This window comes from Homo sapiens, chromosome 9 (genome assembly GCF_000001405.40).
Source record: "Homo sapiens chromosome 9, GRCh38.p14 Primary Assembly".
NCBI classification, from domain to species: domain Eukaryota; kingdom Metazoa; phylum Chordata; class Mammalia; order Primates; family Hominidae; genus Homo; species Homo sapiens.
Genome location: NC_000009.12, coordinates 94,972,205 through 94,995,888, shown reverse-complemented (window position 1 = coordinate 94,995,888; position 23,684 = coordinate 94,972,205). Strand labels below are relative to the sequence as shown.

At 45.2% G+C, this 23,684-nt stretch overlaps 1 protein-coding gene across 45 annotated transcripts in view, besides 2 other annotated features; it reads right to left on the bottom strand.

The window, feature by feature from the left end:
- AOPEP (aminopeptidase O (putative)) overlaps nucleotides 1-23,684 on the bottom strand; it is a 423,526-nt gene that overhangs the window by 154,336 nt on the left and 245,506 nt on the right. For 43 of the 45 annotated variants that reach the window (NR_169862.1, NR_169863.2, NR_169864.1 and 40 more), the window contains one exon: nucleotides 16,462-16,522. Coding sequence is in view for 34 of the 45 variants with exons in the window: in XM_011519121.4 (XP_011517423.1) it covers nucleotides 16,462-16,522 (61 nt within the window). In the remaining 11 variants the exon portion in view is untranslated. Of the gene's footprint in view, nucleotides 1-31; nucleotides 15,337-16,461; nucleotides 16,523-23,684 lie in introns of those variants that run through there. The other 2 variants (NM_001386067.1, XM_011519122.4) reach the window with 2 other exon arrangements.
- Nucleotides 5,748-6,042: a silencer, noted in NCBI's record as "tiled region #2222; HepG2 Repressive DNase matched - State 5:Enh, and K562 Repressive non-DNase unmatched - State 23:Low". NCBI's record gives its function as "represses a minimal TATA promoter and a strong SV40 promoter by Sharpr-MPRA in HepG2 and K562 cells {active_cell/tissue: HepG2 | K562}" and the evidence as "EXISTENCE:reporter gene assay evidence [ECO:0000049][PMID:27701403]".
- Nucleotides 15,337-16,335: an enhancer, noted in NCBI's record as "H3K27ac-H3K4me1 hESC enhancer chr9:97741836-97742834 (GRCh37/hg19 assembly coordinates)". NCBI's record gives its function as "activates a minimal SCP1, AML or CMV promoter by ChIP-STARR-seq in naive H9 embryonic stem cells {active_cell/tissue: H9 hESC(naive)}" and the evidence as "EXISTENCE:reporter gene assay evidence [ECO:0000049][PMID:30033119]".

The following is a 23,684-nucleotide window of genomic DNA, read 5'->3' as shown; positions in this document are numbered from 1 at the left end:
CATAACACAGCTTTTGTGCTCACCAGTATGATAGTTGGAAAAGAACCACAAAGAACATTAGAGCTTTATTAGACACCTCCTAATATGCAGGATTTAAGAACCTACCACCCAGTTAATTTATATTCAGATTTATATTAGGTATGTTAGAATCTTATTAAATCTATCTTCTAGGAGTTTCTGAATGCTTTTATAATTATGGGTTTCAATTTATTATGTAAATATTATGGCCTGTTTTGCCTTCTATGGGAGCATTTCTTACCATCACTGCCTTGATCTCTGAGTTTCAAGGATACTGGAAATCATGATAAGGGACAACCAAATATGCTGTTGCTGTTTTTACATGTCACCCTGTAAATGTGACTTAACTGTTTCAGTACAAAGCCATGGTGTCATAGGAAATCCACAGCTGGGAATTTAGACTAGGCACTCTCTGTCATTGCCACCAAGAAGCTCTGTGGCCTTGGACGTGCATGTCACACAACCTCTCTGAGCTATGAAACAGAGATAATGCTGTGGTGAGGATAAAATGAGATGGTGCACATGGTAAAAGGCACAAAATAGACCAGTAAATGCAAATCCCTTCCTCTTTCCCCTCAGAAACAAAAGTCTATCTGGTATTTTGAACCTAAGTAAATTTTCAAAGGTATCAAAATAACTGAGTTGTGACGTCATAATAAAAAGCCTGGCCTGACAAGCACACAGGCTCAATGCCCTTGTACGGAGCCTGCAAAGACACAACACATCTGAGCTACTACAAACAAGTGTGTATCCCTTCCAATGACAACCAATGGACATGAGAAACCAAGTTCTGTTTCTCATGTGTCTTATTATAAAGGAGATAATTCCATTTCTGGTCCTGTCTCATTCAAAACAGTAAGCTGACTGTTATTACAAGAATATCACAAAGTGAAATTTGATACTTCTTTTTTTCTGTTTTTGAGATGGAGTTTCACTCTGTTGCCCGGGATAGAGTGCAGTGGCATGATCTCAGGTCATTGCAACCTCCACCTCCTGCGTTCAAACAATTCTCTTGCCTCAGCCTCCCGAGTAGCTGGGATTACAGGTGTACACCACCACACCCGGCTAATTTTGTATTTTTAGTAGAGACGAGGTTTCACCATGTTGGTCAGGCTGTTCTCGAACTCCTGACCTCAGGTGATCCACCCACCTCGGCCTCCCAAAGTGCTGGGATTACAGGCATGAGCCACCATGCCCAGCCTGAAATCTGATATTTCTACATTGCTCTCTGAAGATACCACCATGGTCAGGTGCTAGATGCAAAAATAGCTATAATCCTAACCAGAGCTACATGCATTTAAAACCAGTATAATAATTAAGGATGAAGGCTTTTAAGTCAGACAGATTTGGTTTTCAGTTTCTTCATCTGTAAAATGGGTATAATAACAATGTCTGTCTTACGGAGTTGTGACTAGGAGAAATAAATAGCTATTATGTATAATGCACTTAGTATATAGCCTTTTCTGCTCATTCTGGATGTTCTAAATGTAAAATAGGATACTCTAGTCAACTGGAGGCAGGGAGGTGAGGGGAAGGAGGGAAGGGAAGGATTAAGTTAAAAACTACAATTCTATAGAGAGTTAGACAATCTACATATTCTTAGATTTACCCATTTGCAGCTTAATTGACTAGAGGCATTTATGCAAAACCCAGGCAGATGTCTCTCAATTATAAAACCAATGACAGTGACTAGGAAATACAATTTGAGGAGGAATAACCAGAGAGAATTGTAGAGCAACTGCCTTTGCAATAAACAGAATCCAGAAGCATCTTAAGGAGAAGTGTGTCTCTACCTGGCTGCATGGAATGTGAAAAGTGGCAGCATGCGTGGCTCGGGAGAAGAAGGGAGACACCAGAGAAAAACAAGAGGAAGCGCTTGGACAAAAGGCAAGAGACGCTGCCTGACGTGGGAGGCAGCTTCTGCGTCCCAGGGAAACAGACCCCAGGAATGGAGGGGTTATCTCCAGCCGAATCCCATTATTGCTTGTTGCCCTGGAGTCTGAGTCCCAAATTCTGATGTATTGACTTTGGCCTCCCTTCCATGCATGTTCATGCCAATAAAGTTGGTGAAATTAAAGAAGAACTGAATTGTGAAGTCTTCTGGCATAAATAATGTCATATTGCAAAGTCAAGGCTAATAACAACCAGGATGCTGGTAACACTCTTACGGAAAACCATCTGATCTACGTCTCTCAGTGCGGTTTGAAACTCCCCTCGGCCTACAAAGGAAAATATTTTTAGCATGTAGCACACTTTGTAACAGACATATAAATGCACCAAAAATATAATTTTAGGAAAGCATCTGGGTTTGATCATTTCAACCCCAAATAGGTTCTACTTTCTCAATATAAGAAATACTGCAACGTTTTGCTATAAAATATGCAGCGATCACTGTAGCAATTTCTCACACACATTTCATTACTGGTTCTGTTTGTTTTTTTAAAAGCAGCAAATACTTGAATGATTGAGATAAAAAGCAGCATAAAACACGAAGTGCTCTTTCTAGAGCATTGGGCAACAATGGCTTCCCCTCCTCCAAAAGGCAAACTGGACTCACTGGACTTTTCCCCCAAGGTTATTTAGGCAACGGGCATAAATATTTTATCTCTATGTCTCAAAATGTATCTTAGAAATAATAATTGTCCCTGTCTAAGGTAAAACTGACCTGCAGTTACTACTGACCCGTAGGAATTTTAAGACTAAAAAGGCCAGCAAAAATTTTTTCATCTCCTGATCAAACAGGTTAATCTCTATGAATAATTGATTTCAACTAGAAGCAAATGCCTATTCTTCAGTGGTCAGGCAGCATAAATGCTTTTGTAGATTGATTATTACTCAGTTCTCTCAATCATCTCTCAAATAGCAATTTTCCACTGGAAAAGAAAAGAAATGAAGAAACAGGGTTCCCAGATAGTGTAACTTTGTAAAACACCATACAGGACAAAGTATATTTAAAAAACTCTCCCAATACCAGTCCAAGCTAAGGGCAACTTTTAAGTCTGAGGGCAATTCTACAGGTTCCAAGGACAGAAGGAAAGACACATGAAAGTAAATCCCAACTTTTCTCCTCTCAGATGCGACCAGGTACACCTGCATTGCAGGCCTCAGCACGGCACCGGACGCAGCCCAGAGTGCCTTCACCCAGGCCAGCTCCCCTTACCCCCAAAGAGGCAGTGAGCCTCAGAGAGGGCAAGTGGCTCGCCCACTGCTACACGGCTTCGAGGTGGTAGAGCTGACTCCAAAGCTGGTATTTAATGGATTCACTGACGTCTTCATCCACTATAGGACTAGCCTTGCTGAACAAAACTTCATAATAAAGAACTCTGTGAAAAAAACATGGATTTGGACATAACAAACCGACTTTCCTCCTCTACCCAGCCTCCAATCTTGCTGATTAACTTTAAAGTAACGCTGTCTTGCATGTTATGCACCAAACTGTTTGGAGCCCACTTACAGTGTGACGGTGGTGGCTGTAACTCGACAGGATCAGAAGCAGAAAATACTGGGGTCGTAAAGGCCCAAGCTGGAGGACTGACCTGGAAGAACAGGGTCTTTTGCTGAATGATTGCAACAGACTCCTTACCAAGCACCAGTGAAAAGTAGACAGCTGCCATCCAGAGATGTGTGACAAGAACGCTGGCCTTTTTAAACACACACTGGGATCTGTGCAGTTCAACAATCATTGACAGTTACCCTGACCTGTGAGACACTTGTTGGCTGGCCACCACCTTTGTGCTCTCTGACAGTCTTCTGCTCTGGGTCAGCTTCAGGGCAAAAGACAGGGACTCTGGTTGGAAGTGTGCTTGTGAAAGCAAATAAGAGGATATGAAAAATGTACATCAAGATACACTTTTTGTTTAACCATTTACTTTTTCCCATTCGTTTGTTTGTTTGGGTGGCCTGGTATTATGTAATTTAGTTTCCATCTCAAGTGAGGAATGGCTGTATCTTTCCAAATGCAAAGACCTAAACTAATCTCTATATACAATCACATTCACTCACACCAAAAAATATACCAGCTTTTTGATGCAATGGAGCCCAGTATTTCCTATGCAAAATATTCCATCTAGATACATAGGGCTACCGTTTAGAAATATCTAGTGGAAGAGGGGCATGTATATCCATGACACATATTTGTGAAAAGCTCTGGAAAGTGAGGTCCATATCCTGCATCTGTGAAAGAATAGGAACAAACAGCTTCAAGAAAAAGAGGAGTCATTAATGAAAAATCATCACTTCTCAGGGCCCTCTGCCATACTCCTTTATTATCTACTCATAGGTCTTCGTAGAAACTAAGGCAAAGATGGGACCCAAATTACAAAATGCTTTAGTCTGATGGGCTGAAGACTTAGAATCCTGTACTCAAGCCATAGCTCTGCCACTAACTAGTGCTGCGAGCTTGGGCAGATACTACACTTCTCCTGGGGCTCCGCTCCCCCAGTAAGAAGAAGACGCACTGCACTCTAAGACTCATCTGTAGCCTGTGATTCTACAGCAAGCTCAAAGTTGCACAATACCAGAAAAAACTAATATTTAACCATGAAGCAGCAGAGGCCACACAGGAGAAATACCATGCAGGTATTAAATGTATACCTATTTGGTACCACATAATGGCTTCCACAAAAGAGAAGGAAAAAAAGCCCTGACTGTAAAAGTAGCCAGGTGCTCCTGATGGCTTTCCCGGTCAGCAGGGTGCTCTGGCTGCAAGAGCTGGGACAAGCCACTGTGAGCATTGTGCAGGGCCACAGTGGGGGCAGCAGCCTAAAAAGCCCTGGGTGTTGATCTTCTATCAGCATGTGCCATGATGCTGTGCGATGTCAAACAGCCAAGGGGTCATGCTTGTGTATGCAGCCATGTGCACAACTCACTCAACTACTGCTTTGCCGGGCTTTACCTTCCAGGTGTGGGAAGAGTGCAATGTCAATATAAAATAATCTGCTTTTGGCCAGGCGCGGTGGCTCATGCCTATAATCCCAGCACTTTGGGGGGCTGAGGCAGGAGGATCACCTGAGGTCAGGAGTTCGAGACCAGCCTGGCCAACATGGTGAAACCCTGTCTCTACTAAAAATACAAAAAATTAGCCAGGCATGGTGGCACAGACCTGTAGTCCAGCTACTTGGGAGGCTGAGGCAGGAGAATGGCTTGAACCTAGGAGGAGGAGGAGGTTGCAGTGAGCCGAGATCACGCCAGTGCACTCCAGCCTGGGCGACAGTGAAACTCCACCTCAGAAATTAATTAATTAATTAATTAATTAATTAAATTAAATAATCTGCTTTTGACGAAGAGTCTACCAGAGTATGTCTTTAGCCTAATAAAAGAGAAAATGGGGGCAGTTTTTCTTAAAAAGCAGAATCAGTTGTTTTTCTATTGATACAAGGTTTACACTCTAGAGCTGCTATCTTTGTCCTAGTTCTTTGAGTTTGCATTGCTCTTTCTTTCTAAAAAGGTTTCTCTACAAAATAAGGCAGCACTGCAGTGAAATCCTATTACAGGTCCGCTCATTATTAGGGATGCAGTAGTCCTTCCTTCAGTGACTCTTTCTGTGGGCCAATACTTGAAAGCCTGAAAGACAGGTACTGCCCATGTGTCCAAATATGGCTCACCAGACTACACCTTGAGGACAGTCATGCTGGCTCCTTTGCACAATGGGCCAGCTGACTTGTGATTGAGTGGGGCTTAAGGGCAGTCTCCTCCCTCCAAGCGTATTTGTTTTCTTACAGATTTAGCCTCCCAGCGGAACATGGCAAACACAAGACATCAACCTCTACAGTTCTTCGCAGGTCTCAAACTCTGGGGTGGAGACCTGTTGGGCAAAGGTTGGTTTGCAGATGCTTCCACAAACCATGAGCTCATGGGCAGGGTCTGTGCCCTTTCGGCTTTATATGCAAACCACCCAGCGCAATGTTTGGCAAACTGCTTGAACTAATAAACTAAACCACAAAGCCAAATGTTTGGGTTACTTGGCCGGGCGCAGTGGCTCATGCCTGTAATCCCAGCACTTTGGGAGGCCGAGGCGGGCGGATCACAAGGTCAGGAGTTTGAGACCAGCCTGGCCAATATGGTGAAACCCTGTCGCTATAAAAATACAAAAATTAGCCGAGTATGGTGGCTAGTGTCTGTAATCCCAGCTACTCAGGAGGCTGAGGCAGGAGAATCTCTTGATTCGTGGAGGTGGAGGTTGCAGTGAGCTGAGATCACGCCACTGCACTCCAGCCTGGGCAAGAGAGCAAGACTCTGTCTCAAAAAAAAAAAAAAAAAAAAGTTTGGGTTACTCAGGAAGGGTATAAAAATGAAGGATTCTAAGGGTTTAGGTTGTACTTAGAAAAGAAGCTTCTTGGCCAGGCACAGTGGCTCATGCCTGTAATCCCAGCACCTTGGGAGGCCAAGGAAGGCAAATCACGAGGTTAGGAGATCGAGACCATCCTGGCCAACATGGTGAAAGCCCGTCTCTACTAAAAATACAAAAATTAGCTGGGCGCGGTGGCCCACACCTGTAATCCTAGCACTTTGGGAGGCCAAGGTGGGCGGATCTCGAGGTCAGGAGATCAAGACCATCCTCGCTAACACAGTGAAACCCCGTCTCTACTAAAAATACAAAATAATTAGCCAGATGAGGTGGCGGGCACCTGTAGTCTCAGCTACTCGGGAGGCTGAGGTGGGAGAATGGCATGAACCCGGGAGGCAGAGCTTGCAGTGAGCAGAGATCATGCCACTGCACTCCAGCCTGGGTGACAGAGCAAGACTCTGTCTCAAAACAAACAAACAAACAAACAAAAAATAAAAAAATTAGCTGAGTGTGGTGTCGTGCACCTGTAATCCCAGCTACCTGAGAGTTTGCCCCCGCTGAGGCAGGAGAATTGCTTGAACCCAGGAGGCGGAGATTGCAGTGAGTCAAGATTGCGCCACTGCACTTCAGCCTGGGCGACAGACCGAGACTTTGTCTAAAAAAAAAAAAAAAGAAAGGAAAAGAAACTTATTTTGATAGAATATATTTCAGAATATGAGATAATTACGGATTATGTTGACCAGTTCCAGCCGTACCTATGGAGATGCTGACTCAGTAGCAGGTTTGGGCTGGCTCCGGGATCTGCAGTTTTAATCCGCCTCCTACATGATTCTGATGACCAGGTCTCCCTGAGCGCCTTCAACTCAAGCCTGCAGAGCTAGACTTCCAGCAAGAACCCAGCTTGATCCTATTATTAAAACCCACACGTACATGGGCCACTACCAACTGTCTCCATTAGCTGCATTTTTTAAATGCTAGTGGCCTCTGCTTCCTTTTCCTTCTGGTTATCCTTCGATGTTCGAAGGCAGGACTGGGTTATCCTTCATATACCTAGCAAATATTAGCTTTCTCTCTACGGTGTCATACTTTCAATGTGTCTGTTTGCATCTGAGCCAGTTCAGAATTCTTATTCTTTTTACAGGAAAAATGTCTCAAATGCCCTTTATCCCTAATGAGAAAGCCATCCTCATATGCCTTCCTCTGTGCTCACTGAAAAAATGTACGTCTAATCCGAGATTGTGAAAGCTGTGGGCAATCGACTCTCCCTGCCGACTTCCCAACGTCCTTCCCCGTCGTGAGTAGGATTTGGGTGCATCAGCTGCATCACATTGATCTGTGCTTGTTTCTTGTGGCTTCCTACTCATTCCCATGGATATAGGCGTTCCTCAGCCCACTGCATGTCCTCTCTGGATAGACAGACACCATTGGTTATCTAGATACTTAATGCTGTTTTTAGAAGTATCCATGTAAATGAAGAGCTTCTGGACCTGAAAGTTCAGTCAGAAACCAAGGAGCTAAAGTCAGTCTAGCTGTTCCACACCCTCCACTAGACTACCTCTTCCCTGCACAGAGGGGAAAAGCATGGCTTTTTACCCGGGGAGCTGTCTTTCCAGGCAAGGCTGCTGACCCACCTGACCATGTTTATCTAAACATGCTGCTCAAGTCCTGTCACTCCTTGCACAAGCATCAGTGGCTACTCAATCTGCAGGAACTCTCTAGCATCACATTCAAGTCCCTGTGTAATCTGGCTGGGTCCTGCCCCACTAACCATTCCCCCTCACAGATCCTGCCCTCTATGTAAAACAAGCAAGAATTAAACATGTCCCCAACAAGAAAAACAGAAAGGGAAAAGATTACAACCCCAAATCACAATCAAAATGCGTTCACCCAGTATATTTTATCAGTATTTAAAATGCATTCATCCCTCTATTATTCAGGAGCAGAACAACCTTGGTTAGATTGTTGCAGGGGCTGGGAGGGACCTGAGAATGAGAAGGAGGCTGAATGGGAAGGATTCTTGCCCCCACCCTTCCAGCTGAGGACGCCACCTTGATTTCACTGGGGCTGGGATGCTACCCGCTGAACCTTCATCATGGTTGTGACACTAGTTAATCAGCTTCCCAGCACTGAGATTTGACTCTGCCTGATGCTGTTCAAACAGGCACACTGAGTTTCCCAGCAGCACACCTTGGTTATGTCACACTCCCTGCCCGTAAGGGCCTTCTCCACAATCTCCACCTGCCCATGCTCTACCTGCCTGTCCTTCAAGATTGGCTTCAAATGGTACTTACACTGTCTCTGCTTCCACAAATCAAAATGGCCTTTCTTCTGAACACTAAGCTTTCCACTACTTATTGCTTTCTGCCTTACGTCAGTTATTTATGTATCTATTTTTCCTATTGAATTATTAAGCATCTTGAAGGCAAAGCCTGTATTTCTCTCATCTTTGAATCATCCACAGTCTCTCATCAAGAACCTATGTGTGGGATCTACTCATGGGAAGAAGGATAGGAAAGGACTGGACTCAGAGGTCTGATTTCAGATCCTGGAAGAAGCTTCCTCTTGCAAATATCATCCATCTGGTCTGGATGCTTGAAAGTTCTACCGTAGAAGCCTAAGCTCTAAGCTCTGACACTTACAAAGGAAATCTTCAAGAGAGAGGAAACATTTTTAATTCTTGTTATTCACTTGAAGTCTAGTCTTAGACTACTGTGAATGAGATTCAAACTCGTTCTGGAAATCAGGTTTTGAAAGACAGAAATGAAGGAAGCACACAGCTTTCATTTGGGGGCACCAGAGGAAAATGTTTCTCATTTCATTGTGATGGCTTGTGCTGTAAAGAGGTCAATATATTTGGACAGTGTCAAATCAGATGCCCCAATGTTACACAACACGCAGCACAGACCTTCAGCTATTACCACTTTCTGGGGGAATGGACCCTTCCCACATTTATTTCTCTCGCATGCCATGAAGACATGATTTTTAATTCTTGTGCACTCACTAGATACTAACATCATTTGGGACCAAAACATGTACCCAAAGCATATTCATCCATAGGGGAATAAAATGCAGTGAGGTTGCGCTGAGTAATTTTTATTGGCCATTCTGAAGGGATTCATTAGAATGCGGAACTAGTGAGAGACGTACTGTGAATAAGGTAAATAGGAATGGCTAAATTGTGTCCCACCAAATTCATATATTCAATTCCTAAACCCCAGTACAACTCACAATGCAACTGTATTATTGGAGTTACGGCCTTTAGGGAGGAAATTAAGGTAAAATTAGGTCATATTGGTGGGCCCTAACCCAATATAACTGGTGTCCTTATAAAAAGAGCAGGTAAGGACAGACATGTGCACGCATACAGAGCAAAGACTACATGAGGACATGATGAGAAGGTGGCCGTCTACAAGCCGAGGAGAGAGGCCTCACCAGAAACCAACGCTGTTGGCACCTTGGTCTTGGACCTCCAGCCTCCAGAACTGTGAGGAAAAAAATCTCTGTTGTTTAAGCCACCCAGTCTGTGGTACTTAGTTATGGCAACCCCAGCAAACTCATTTGAGCACAAAGCCTTAGATGCCAAAAATAAAGGAAATTAAGCTAAAAATGAAAAGATTTTAATAAACCCTCTCCCTGTCTTGTGATTCTGCTGAGCAGTAGAGCAATTTGAAGAGCCTATGGAGGGGGCCAGGTGCTTGGATGAACGGAAGTGACTGTGATGACTCAGGCATTTTGGGTGCTGCCTCAAGTGAGGCCGCAGAACCTATTCCACATGTCTTTAAGGATCCTTGACAAGATGTTTAGTCACTTAGAAAATACAAGTTTAACTACTGGACAAAAATGACAGCAAAATTATTAGCAGCCCAAATAGTATACCACATTATGGCAACTGCTATTATAGATATAAAAGAAGCAAACATATCGTAGTTCATATAATTTGAAAAATATACTTTCTCTGAAATTTGCAAAATAATCAGTTTCAGTTTTCTTGACTGACCATTAAATGTAGAATTCTTCTAGACACCACTGAGATTGAGTATCTTAATAGGCCTTAAAATTATATTGATAATACTGCATAATATGTGCTATAAGAAGTCTACTAGTCATTCCCCTATAAAACCAGCTGGATTTCTCTGTGCTAAAAGCACATCGTGACTACAGTGACATAAAGCCTCCTGCATACTGTCTTATCAAGTATTCTCAATTCTGTGATTGCAGCATTTTCCCTACAAGACTTCAGTTTTCTATCATGTGCTCATGCAGCCTCTGGCAACTTGCAGGTGTTTGCTCGGAAAGAAGTGGCATTTTCCCAAGATGACAAAATAACCTGTTGTTCTAAATTCTGGGATTCAGGAGAAAGTCTGGGAACCCAAGTTGCTTTCTGCCTATTTCTGGGACACATTATTGTCGGCTCATTTCCCATCTTCTCTCTCCTCCTCACTGCCGCTGCTGTGATGATTTTGCCAGGAACTGGCGGCTGAGCACTTCCTCCAAAGAGGAGACTGAGGTACAGAAGACACGTGAGGTTCACCTGAGGCGGTGTGCTTGTGGTTCACACCTCAGGAAACTGGTCTACCAGGAGTTGAAACCCACAGCTAATGCAAGGCTGCTAGTTCATGCCCTCTGAATGTCTACTGTGAACCCAGCACTCCCGCCCCGTACCTGTGGATTCTCATCATCCATGCTGTCACAGCAAATTGAAGGGTGTCTATGGATTAACCAGCTCTATCTTTACCCCGCATTTGACAAAAATACAGACGATTTCACTCATATCTATTCTGTGGGTGACTTTAAGGCATTATGCACTCAGATTTTAATCCAACTAATAGCTTTAGAACAGCTCTATTCAACAGGAATATACGCAAGCCACATGTGTCTTTTAAAATTTGCTAGTTGCTACATTTAAAAAGAAGTAACAGGTAGGATTAATTTTAATATATTTTATTGGGTATATACATTGAGTTGCAATGTATCCAAAATATTATCATTTCAACATGTAACCAATATTTTTAAAAACATTGATGAAATATTTACCTCCATTTTTGTACTAAGTCTCCTAAATCTGATGTGTTCTCACAGTCCATCTCAATTTGGGTGTTAAATTTTCATCAGAAATGTTTGGTCTCTATTTATATTTCATAACAGTCCGAGTTGAAAAAGCAGACTCATTCACATACCCAAGGTATTTCAAACAATAACTAAATTATGAGATTTTAAATTTAAATTTAATTACGACTAAATTAAAAAATCAGCTCCGGCTAGGTGCGGTGGCTCAGGCCTGTAATCCCAGCACTTTGAGAGGCTGAGGCAGACAGATCACGAGGTCAGGAGATCGAGACCATCCTAACACGGTGAAACCCCGTCTCTATTAAAAAATACAAAAAATTAGCCAGGCGTGGTGGCGGGCGCCTGTATCCCAGCTACTTGGGAGCCTGAGGCAGGAGAATGGCGTGAACCTGGGAGGTGGAGCTTGCAGTGAGCCGAGATCATGCCATTGCACTCCATCCTGGGTAACAGAGCGAGATTCCGTCTCAAAAAAAAAAAAAAAATTAGCTCCTCAGGTGCTTTCGATATATTTCAAGTGCTTACCAACCACATGTAGCTAGTGCATTGGACGGTGAGCTCCTGAGCATCTACTGTTAATATATGCAAGGCCCAAAAGAGATAAGCACCACAACAGGTACTACAGGATGAGGCTTATAGACATAACCCTTGTTTCCGGGGGAGGGGGGAGGGGAGGGGACGGCATGGGACAGATACAGAGAGAAACATGTAAGGCAGGTTGTGATGTATGCTAAAGAGAGGGAGAGGAAAGCATGCCAAGGAGCAAAGGGCATGCACAAAGGCAGGCTGATGGAAAAGCTTGCAAATACCTGTGCACCGACAGTCGTGAGCGGGCGAATCTCCAGAATGCCAGGAAATAAAGTTGAAAAGGGTGACTTTGACCAGTCTGCTGGTAGCCTCAAATAGCAGGCCAAGGAGTTTGTTCTAAATCCATTGTCCATGGGGGAAAAGTCTCTGGTGAGAAGAGTGGGTCTGAGCTGGGTTGTGGGAAGATTTACTTGGCATTGATGTGAACAATGAATCAAAAAGGAGAGAGCTAAAAGACCAGTTTGCTATTGCACCAGTCCAAGCGAAATATAATTTATAAATGGCAGAGGTGCTAGGAAAGAAAATTAGACATTTGGTAAGTGTGTACAGAAGGGCCTCAGGACTTGGCAATTTAGGGAGGAAATCAAAGAAAGGGAGGAGTCAGAGTTCTGTAGAAACTGGCTGGCTCGCATCTGTAATCCCAGCACTTCGGGAGGCCAAGGCAGGCGGATCATGAGGTCAGGAGTTCGAGACCAGCCTGGCCAATATGGTGAAACCCCGTCTCTACTAAAAATACAAAAATTAGCAGGCATGCGTGCCCGCCTGTAGTCCTGGCTGCTAGGGAGGCTGAGGCAGAAGAATCACTTGAACCTGGGAGGTGGAGGTTGCAGTGAGCCAAAATCGTGCCACTGCACTCCAGCCTGGGTGACAAAGCGAGACTCTGTCTCAAAAAAAACAAAAACAAAAACAAAACAAAACAAAACAAAAGCGCAGTTCTGTAGCAACTAAAATAAGGAGTGTAGAAGAAAGGCTGGATGCAGAAATTTATTTCTAGTGTATTTATTTCTAGTGTATTTGCATATAAATGTTTTAAAAGAAGACTAGAATATATGGCTATGGGGCCGAGGGAAACCTTTGTTTGGACATGAAAAAAAATCCAAAATCTATTTATAGAGCTGTCAAATTAGCGGAATGTGCAACTTTCTGAGAATAACTGTACAATAATATACTATTCTAATAGTGTGGGGTAGGCCCCGAATAAGTTTGATTATGGTATTATTCATCAGGAAGCGGTGCAGCTCTTTAAAAGTATTGCCCTTTCACTGCAGCCCGGGAGGTGTAGGCTGCAGTGAGCCATGATCATACCACTGCACTCCAGCCTGGGTGACACAGTGAGACCCTGTCTCCAAAAAAAAAAAAAAAAAAAAGTATTGCTCTTGAATTATATTAAGGGATGTGGGAAACTACTCAGTGTATATCCTTAAATGAATAACTTAGTTTGGAAGATAAGACTCCAATTTTATTTCAAAAGAATGTGCGCCTACATGCTGTTCAGCACAGAAACTGTGTGGGCGGACACACAGCGGGCTGCTCTCAGGTGCAGGTGATCTCTGGAGGTATGACTGAGGGCAGCGAGGAGTTTCACATTTTCTATTTTGCTATTGTTTGAATTTGCTACGGAGGGCATGTTATTTTTACTTTTAAAGAGGGAGAGAAAGGAAAACGTAAAATATGTATTTATATACCCAGAACAATGAGTGAAAGGATGTACATAAAAAATTGTCTCTGGGTCATTTTTATTTTCTTAGACTTTTTTATATCCCAAAGTAAATGTGTACTTCTTCTATAACCAAAAAAAAAGTCATAAAAGGAAATAATCTATAGTACTGATGGTACAATCAATTTTAAATCTCTTTGTAAGGCCAGAGGTTATAGAGTTGGGATATTCTTTAAAGAGGTTAGGATCCAATTTCTTTTGCTTCTTCAGGGCTCATGCTCACTTTTACTGAAGCTATTTCCACTTTTTAAAAATGATTTCCATTCAACGTAGCCAAAAAGGAAAATCGAGGCCAACCACAAGGCAAGTCTTCCTGAGAGAAGACAAAAAGCCTCTGTAACCTGTGGAATGAAAACTCCACCAGTAGAACATGACTCTTTTGTCATGAATGACTTCAATTGCTGGTAGACAGAAATTTTTACGAGAACAAAGAGCATCAGAGCAATTTCAGGGCCCTGGTTGTCATTCCAGGGCAAGCATCCTAGTAACTTTATATTATAATGATGGGGACAAAGAACAAGGTGTCCCATTCACCACAAGCCTCCTGCAACCGGAGGGTCCCAGGTCCTTGTAGAGCCTTTCAGTGAAGTGGAAACGGCAAGGAACTCTCAAGGAGTGGGAAAGGGGCTGAGAGTAGATAAATCAGCAGCAGCCGCAGAAATCATGGCCGAAATGGGTAGAAGAGACGCAAAGACACCATCTGATCACCCACCAATCATGCGCTAAATCAGGGTCTTTTCTGTCTGACCCTGTTGTTTTTACTGAACAGTGAAGCACCCAAGGAAATACCAGTTGGGTCTTAAACACAATTTATAGCCGGTTGGCCTCATTGCACCTGGCTGTTTTGACAGCAGGTTTCTTCAGTTTATAGCAGAGATTCTTGTCTACACTATAAGCTGTCACTAATGCAACTAGACCTTTGGAAAAAATGTATAGCTCAGAGGCAAATCTCTCCCTGCCACAGACCCCTCCCTCTTTTAATGAAAACCAAAAGCCTCCTGCTGGCAGCTAAAGCCTCCTCCTCTGCAGGGGAAATTACAGAGCCCCCGGCAGTGAGAGAGCCAGCCCCAGCACCACAGCCTAAGTGGAGTGCGCCTGCTTCTGGGCACTGGATTAAGGTCTCTTTCTTTCCCCCTCCCTAGGGGCTAATGGCTGCAAACAGCAGCCTTCTTGTTCCAGGCCAGGAAATTTGGGAGCCAGTTACTGGAGCTCCCAGCTTCCAGGCCACACTAAGAATGTCTGGGAGCCTTGTAACAGCCTGGCTTAGGATCACAAGGCAAACTTCAGCAAATGTCCCCCACCACCTGCACTCCCATCTGAAACATGAAGGAAAAGGGTTGGTTATTCACACCTAGACAAACCTTAACTTGTTTTTCCTGGATGTTTGTCCTCAGTGAGTAGTCTGGTTTGGAAGTCACCGTCTCAGAGCTCACGGGCCCTCATTGTCACACACGTGAGTGAAAGGCGCTGCCCCCAACCACGCACTGCCTTGTCCTACCCCTGGTCTGTTTTATTTGTAAAACTCGGGATGTTTTTTCTTTTTTCCTCCCAGAAGGACTGGACCAAAGAAATAATTTGTAACAGGTGACACACATTCCTGAACTGAAGGCAAACTGTCCTTTTTTAGGAATGAGCTTATGGTTGCTGATGGCTGACATTTCCCCTGTGGTGAAAATGGACAAAGATGTGAGGAGGGGGATGAAAAGGTAATGGAGAACAGCCCCTCCTGTCCCTTCATTTCATGGTTCACAGACATTCACTGACATTGAGACCCTCCTAAGGGGAAGCTCATGTAACCAGCCATGAAACCAGAAACCAGCAGGCTACAGGGCCTGCCTCACCACACGGGACCGCCCCCAGATGCCAAGGCCCATGACCCTGGGTCAGGCCCAGCCTGCAGCCGCTCTGGGGGCTGCCCCAGACTGAGAGAGCTCCCAGCCTGCAGGGTCCTCTGACCGCGCATCTGGGATCCCACCCTCAGACTTCCCAGGGCCTAGGCTTGCCATGGCCAGCATTTGATTTGGCGAAGGGGCCTGGGCTGTCCAATGGTCTCTGGGAGGCACAGGGCCAGAGGAGAGTGGACGGGGAGAGGAGCTCCAGGCCAGGTGATTTCCACAGAGCTAGGGCTGGCCAGGAAAAGGTTTCTCCCTTAGAGTTGCCCATAGACTGAAAGGGAGGGAGAGAACAACAATCTCCAGCTGGGATGAGCCCAGGTCCCTAAGACAGAGAAATGAATGGAAATGGGTCAGCCAGGTGAGAAGGCCGGCCTGAGACAGGAGCCCAATGCAGAACCAGGAGACGAGGGAGCCACAGGCGTGTCAGGGAAACAAGGGACAGGGACCATGGGGCAGGACAGACGACGGCGGCAGCAAACCAACTCCTGTGTTGGGCCGCATCCAAAGAGCAGAGCTGGAGGCTGACTGCTCCCCCTCAACCTGCTCCCCTGCCACCTGCCCCCCCACCACCTGCCCCACGGGGCATGGAACTGTTGGCTGGTGGTTCCACCCAAAATCTACCCCACGTCTTGCAGGGTCTCATTTAGCAGGGAGTTCAGGAGCTACCATCAATTCCACGTATACCACGGTCACTTGAAAGTGGCCAGAGGCACACCCCACAATGAGGGGGGGAAATGCGGGAGAGACTAGTGTTCTGACTTACAGATACTTGCACTCAGTAAGATAATTACTTTCCTACACATATATTAAGAAATCACTGTCATGATTGATGTGCTAAGCAGCAAGCTTTACTACTCTCCATGGATTCTACCAAAGTGGTTATCTTGAGTTACCTTTGGTATTCCGGAACTCTCAAGCCAGTCTTGGTAGATGTTTTCAACAGACAGCTCAAGCCTTTAGAAATAAAACAACAAAAAGTAAAGGATTAAAAAGTTACAGAGCGCTTATTACACAGACTGGTTCTCTCTAACTGGGTACATCACAGCATCGATCTTCCAGAAGTGCCCGTGCTTTACAGAAAGGGCAGCGCTCCCCTGGGTTGAAGTGTGGAAGGGAGCCCAGTCACATGAGACCGCTCCTCTTCACCCACAGCAACATGCACGATGAAATCTAAGGACCCAGGCACAGCATCATGGGTGCTTTCAGTGCTTTGAAAGGAACTATTTGGTTGGGAAAGCCAGTTTCGGGAGGATAAGGCATATTCATCGCACACATCAGGCATGGCTGCTTCCTGGAGAGTAGTGAAACAAAGTGAAATCTGAACATCATGGCATTGAGTGCGTCAACACGAAATCTGCACTTTATAGGAAAGATGGACTACAACAAGCAAAAATAATACAAATCACTATCAGACCACAGAGAGGCTCAGGTGCAAGGAATGAGGACCACTTCCACTGTCTCCTTTCAACCGGGCCCCGTTCTGCTTTATTTGAGGTGTTATCATTGCTTGATATGTCCAATCTAAAGTCAGCTGAAATTATTTTGCTTTCATGCCCCGCTGACTTGAGTACTCCTTAAAATCACTAAGTCTTCAGTATATTTAGGATCACCAGATCTCCGGCTGTGTCCTTTTGTCTTCCTTGGCTAATGCAGCTTAAAGCACACCCATCCCCTCAACCTCTTCCAGGTAACTCTTGCTCATACCCAGGATCTCTGCTTACAGAGAGGCCTTTCTTGACCTCCTCCCAGACTGAAGCAAGGCCTCCCCAGTGCCATAACATCTGTCACACGCCCTGTTCTCTGCCTCACAGCCTCCACCCGAGTTTGTGACTATTTGTTCGACTACTAGACTTAGTTACTGTCTCCTCGTTGGATTGAAACCATCTGAGATCTGATCCCTGGTATGAAAGAGGATCCTCATTTTTTTTTTGAATGAATGAACGCACATTTAATTGTAGACTCATTAAAATCATTCCTTTTAAAGATAATATTCACCTTTCCACCAAGATACTTCCAAGTTGTTAAGCTCTGCCTCTTTTAAATTTTAATGTATTATACACTACATCATATGTAAAAGTATGTAACTATATACCTGCTCTCTCCCTCCCTTTTGGAATTCTAGAAGTTATGAAAAGATACAGTGTTACACACACTGTTAAGGAGCTGGAAGGCCAAGTGCACCCCTCTGCGACCCTGTGGGTGGGTGGTGTTGCAGACGGGGAAGTAGTGAGGTAGGGAGGGAAGGAGGGGTTGGCTTTGGGAGGGCTGGAGGAAAAGGGGACTGACTGATTTTCTCTTCCTTTCTTTCCCCCTATTGGTCGCTCACTGGTGCCCCTCGTCCTCCCTAGCCAAGGGCAAAATGAAAGGCTGCTTAAAAAGGCAATTGCTATTTCAAAACAGAAAAAGTTCATGGAGGGAAAGAGGGCTTATGCAGAAAAAGGGCTTTGAGTTCATATGAAAGATGATGGCCCTCTGTGTGATTAGCAGGCAAGAGAAGGGGAGGGGACTACCTCTCTAGGTCCTCCAGGGTCCCAGACTCAGTGGAATTACCGGGCAGACCTCACAGAAAGGCCTGTGCCACCATCGCTGGGCCTTCCACTGCTTCTTAGTGGTCATTTTCATAGCATCAGCTTCAGCGCAAATGGCCAAGTCCCCCTGTAAGCTATGAGAGTGTGGGAGTGTGCGCATGCATGGATGTGTGCATGTGTATCCGTGTGTGTGTGGTGGAGGCAGGGGAGACTTGAAGAGAGGAGGAAGCTCTCAGAGCACCTTCTATGAGGTCATTGTTCTTTTTTAAGCTTTATTTACCTGGGAGAGAGGCTGGAGATTCCCTTAATGGGCAGTAGCAATTTGCCAGAGCAGTGGGGCTAACTGACCAGCTAGAGAGAAACACCAATGAAGAAGATCCGAGAAGAAAACAGGCCTGTGCCTCTAAATCAGGGCAGGTGACATAGAGTACTGCAGAAGCCTCCACAAGCTCTGAAAGCCCAGGGCTGCTCCGGGTTGCAGGCAGGAACCTGACCCCTCCACCAAATGAACTATCCTCTCCAGGGGCATGTCCAGCAGCAGATAAGGTGGGGACAGTGCGTTCATACCCACCAAGAATAGGCCTTCCACTGGGCAGCCTTGCTTTCAATGCACTTTATAAAATCTGTCTTACCTCCATCTTCACACATTTCATGAGAAAATAAAGCAACTTCAAGCTTACTTGTGCACAGGTAGGAAAGTGTCCTTCACTGGCTTCCTTTCCAGCCAGAGAGGGACGTTTCTGTGCCCAGAACCCTGAGCCCAAAGCTCCTTTCACCCATCCTTCAAGCGATCCTCAGGAAAGCCAGAGCAAGAGGCTGACTTCTGGGCCAGGCACAGTGGCTCACGCCTGTAATTCCAGTGCTTTGGGAGGCTGAGGCAGGAGGATCACTTGAGGCCAGGAGTTCAAGACCAGCCTAGGCAACATGGCAAAACCCTGTCTCTACTAAAAATAAAAAAATTAGCTGGGCATGGTGGCATGTGCATATAGTCCCAGCTATTTGGGAGGCTGAGGTGGGAGAATGGCTTGAGCCTGGGAGGCAGAGGTTGCAGTGAGCCTGGATCACACCACTACACTCCAGCCTGGGGACAAAGTGAGACCCTGTCTCAAACCCCCAAAAAGAAAAAAAAAAAAAAAAAGAGGCTGTCTTCTGAACTGAAAACAAGTCTCCACCTTTCCCATAAGATATTTAAGAGGAAGATGCAGAATTTGGAAAGGACTTAGAGAGAGCAATAGTGACGATCAAAAGGGGAAGAGCCCACAAGGGAGGTAAAGGGAACTGAGGTTAAATATCCCAGAGAAGAGAAGTCCGAGGAGCGACTTAATTGCTATTTTTGAGTGATTTTACAAAAGACAGTGAACAGCTGTTGTGTATCAGCATGGGGGAGTGAATATGAAGACACGGACATAAATTTCCTTTGGGGAATTTTCACTTACAGATGCTTCTCTAGGGGTGGCATGGAGTGGGGGCTGGGGAGTTGAGCCCTGGAATGTTATTAAGTGAGGTCCAAAGTCTTCACCAGAGAAGACTGAAAAACAGGCAACATTCTCTATGTGGCAAACATTCGCTGGATGGCTGCTGGGCAAAGGTTCTGTGGAAGGCTGGGATGGGAAAACCCAGGGAGTGACTGTGGATTAGGGATGTGTAATAGACACCAGGCAGAATGCTACCAGCGCCTGTAGAGATGATGGTCCTCTAGGTGTTGAAGAACCACTGCTGCAGGTGGGATAGGTAAAACAGGACAAGAGGAGGTGCATCAGGAGAGGCTTCCTAAGAAGGCCATGCATGACTGGGTCCTGGTGGGGCAAAGCCAATAGAAATGGAAGAAAAGCACATCGGGGCAAAGATAGCAGGAGCAGGAATGCCAGTGCAGTAGTGTGCAGACTCCGTTCAGCTCAGTGGGGCTGGCCTCCAGAATGAGCTGAGAAAGAAAACAGCGGGTCCTGCGGGGACTCTGCAGTCCCTGCTACCGGGCCCTGCCTTTGTCAAGGAGGCTCTGGAGCAAAATTGCAGAGGGACACGGCAGAGAACTGAGTCAAGGAAGAAAAAGCGGAGAAGAGGCTGGAGGCAGGGAGACCACACCAGAACTTGCAGAATGTTTCTGCAGGAGGCAACGAGAGCGGCCCACATGGATGTGGCGTGCAGGGGACGGATCTGCAGGGCAGCACTGAAGCAGTCCAGCTGCAGGGTTGGGAGACACTGTGCAGATAGTGGGCCCCAGGAATCTCTGCAGGATGACTTTCCGTAGGAAGCATGTGGCTGCATACAATTTGCCTGTGCCACAGTCTTCGGCCAACTCAGAGGGTTAGTTCATTGGCAAATTCTGCTTTAACATAGTTAGTACTTGCACACACAGACACTATTCTACCGTGGCACTAAAAGTGAAACAAATAAAAAGTCCTCTATCCACTGCCAAGAAAAGGCATAAAACTAGAAGCTACTGCTTATTGAACACCTACTGTGTGCCAGACACAATAGACAGAGTATCATCTATACTTGACAATAACTGTGCAAGACCAATATTATTATTATTACTTATTATTATTATTATTATTAGAGACAGAGTCCCACTTTGTCACTCAGCCTGGAGTGCAGTGGTTCAATCTCAGCTCACTGCAACAACCTCCTCCTCCTCCAGGGATGAAACGATCCTCCCATCTCAGCCTTCCGAGTAACCGGGACTACAGGCATGTGCCACCACGCCCGACTAATTTTTGAAATTTTTTATAGAGACGGGGTCTCACTATATTGCCCAAACTGGTCTTAAACTCCTGGCCTCAAATGATCCCAGCCTCCCAAAGTGCTGGGATTACAGGCATGAACCACCACACCCAGCCAAATGACCAATATTACTGTCTTAATCTTACAGACAAACAAATACAGGTTCCAAGAAATTGAGAAATGTATCCAAGGCCACACAGATGGTACTTGAAGAGCTGGGATTTGAACCTTTGGTGCGTGGCTATGAAACCCCAGCTTTTCTTTCCGTGCTAAACTCAGGCTTCATGACACATGGGTTTCTACTATGGAACTGACAAGCTGGCAGAAGGGGTGGGCCTGTGCCTGCTCCAAACCATGCCGACTTCCCCCTCTCACTAATCTCTCCTGCTGAAGACAGCCTGGCTCCTGCTGAAGACAGCCTGGCTCCTGCGTGGTTGCCCTGTTTGTCAACCCTTCGGTTACATTTCTGAAGAGATCAGGAGACCCTTGGGAGGGGCAAAAGTGTGGGAGCAGGAGAGCTCGTCAGTGAGCTGCATCCAGAGGCAAAAGGCCCTCTCCGTGAATGAAGAGAACGTGTGTTTTCAGATCACTTTTCTTTGGAAAGGTTCGAAGCATCTTATAACCATTACTCATTTCTCATAATATCCCTGTGAAGTGAGTGTCCACTGTTGTGTGGCTTCTTAGCACAGGAGCATAGGAGGACTCTGACCCAAGTCAGCAAAGGAAAAAAATCCAGATTTCTAAACTTCCAGTATCAGTGTCGACATCACACTGCATCATGCCCTATTTGGGGATTGTTAATGTGGAATAAGATGTTAAATTATGAGAGAAAGATGAAAGCATTAATTCCAGCTGCTAACAAAAATTTTTAAGGTACTATGAGTGGCCTTATCTCCCAAGGAATCATGGGACACCATAGGACAATGTTTAATTTTCAGCAAAGAAATGGACTAATATGTTGCAGAAAGAACATAGCATGCAGGTAGCTCAGGGAAGAAACAGGATGTAGGTCTCAGGAAGAAAGATGACATGTGTGCAGGTTCTGCTGTTTGGAGCATAATTATTGAAATGACACTGCAGGTGAATTTTTAGGTCTGGGATTGGATTTATACAGTGGTTAAACTAAAAGCTGACTTTTTCAAATCAAGATATTCAGAATCCAAGCCAACGGTGAATTTTTTCCCTCTGAGGTCATGTGGCTTAAATAATCGCAACAGACAAGCAGAAGCATTTCCACTTAGCCAGGACCTAGAACTTACAGGAAATTACTCTTCTGCATGTCTGATCACTATGGAAATTGATTTTATACAGAGAGCTAAAAGTACACAGACCCATGACTGCGAGTCCTGCGTATCCGTACTAGTGAGCGCGGACTTTCCGCCTCAGTACTGAAACCCAGGCCTTAGCCCTGGGCCTCCTGGGTATGAGGAACAGCAGGTGGCTTTGCCCTCTGGCTGGCTGTTCCCTGGTGCACCCCCACATCCTATAGGGCGACTCTGAGTGTCAATGGTCTCCAGTTCCTCGGAGCTATAAATTTGGTCACACTTAGTTAACACGGCAGGGGAGAGAATATGCTGACCACCTGGCATGATACTGGTTAGAAAAACAAGCTGTGTGTAAAGCCAGAAAGTAACCAATTGTTCATCTCTTTACGAAGTTAAAATAAATCAACAGGCTTGTGTGAAGACGGTGTTGCCCATGCCTGTATTTGCTCGCTCAGTTGATTTCCAAGGTGGGATGACAAGAATGGGGATTATAGGATGGATCTGCTACTTGTGCCTATCAACATGTTGCTTGATCAAGAGAAATGTCTTCATCACTTTTGGCTCCTGTCTTCAGCTCTTGAGATCCTAAAGATCACAGTCTGTCAGTGCCTCTGAAGGGAAGCACACAGCCCCAGCAATTTTCACATGAACTAAATGACAGACTTAAAGAATTGGGAAGTGCAGCCAGATAGAGGTAAGGCAGCAGAAACTGCAGAGCTCAGGGTCTGGAATGGAAAATGCCCTTTTCTGGAATTCAATTTACATCTGTGTCGATGTTTACATTTAGTTTACATGTTTAAATTCCCTCTCTACATGTGGGTGGATCTCAAAGCTGTGCAGAGTTACTTATTTTCTTCCTTTTTTTTTTGAGACAGGGTCTCACTCTGTCTCCCAGGCTGGCGTGCAGTGGTGCAATCTCAGCTCATTGCAGCCTCAAACGCCTGGACTCAAGCCATCCTCCCACCTCAGCCTCCCGAGTAGCTGAGACTACAGACACGTACCACCATGCAGGCTAATTTTTTGTATTTTTGGTAGAGATGGGATTTTACCATGTTGGCCAGGCTGGTCTCCAACTCCTAAGCTAAAAGTGATCTGCCCACCTTGGCCTCCCAAAGTGCTGGGATTACAGGCATGAGCCACGGTGCCCAGCTGATTTATTTTCTTGATCAAAACATTCATTTGTGCTTGGGTAGATAATAAAGATTGCTGAGGTCACACTTATAAAACAAGTACTGTGTAGCTCCGTGGGGGAGGAACAGTATTAGATTAAAACAAACACAGGAACATGCACACACAAACACAGTAACTGATGGGCAAGGAAAGAAGTGGCAGCTGTTACTAACACTGGAACACCAGGCAGCAAGGACACTGGCATAAGGCGTTCCACGGGGCTCTTTCACCAGGAGAGACTGCTGCTCAGGATTGTCTGGGTTTTCTTCTGAGCCCTTTTAGTTTTACCTGACAGCATCTTTCTGCCTTCCAACGCTCGTCCCTTTCACTCCCTCTGCCCCATTCAGACTCCCCAAACACCTGCCCTCCTGCATTTCCACTGCTACTTCAGAGTGTGACTTAGTGGCTAAGAAAGAAAGGTCGGACTCAACT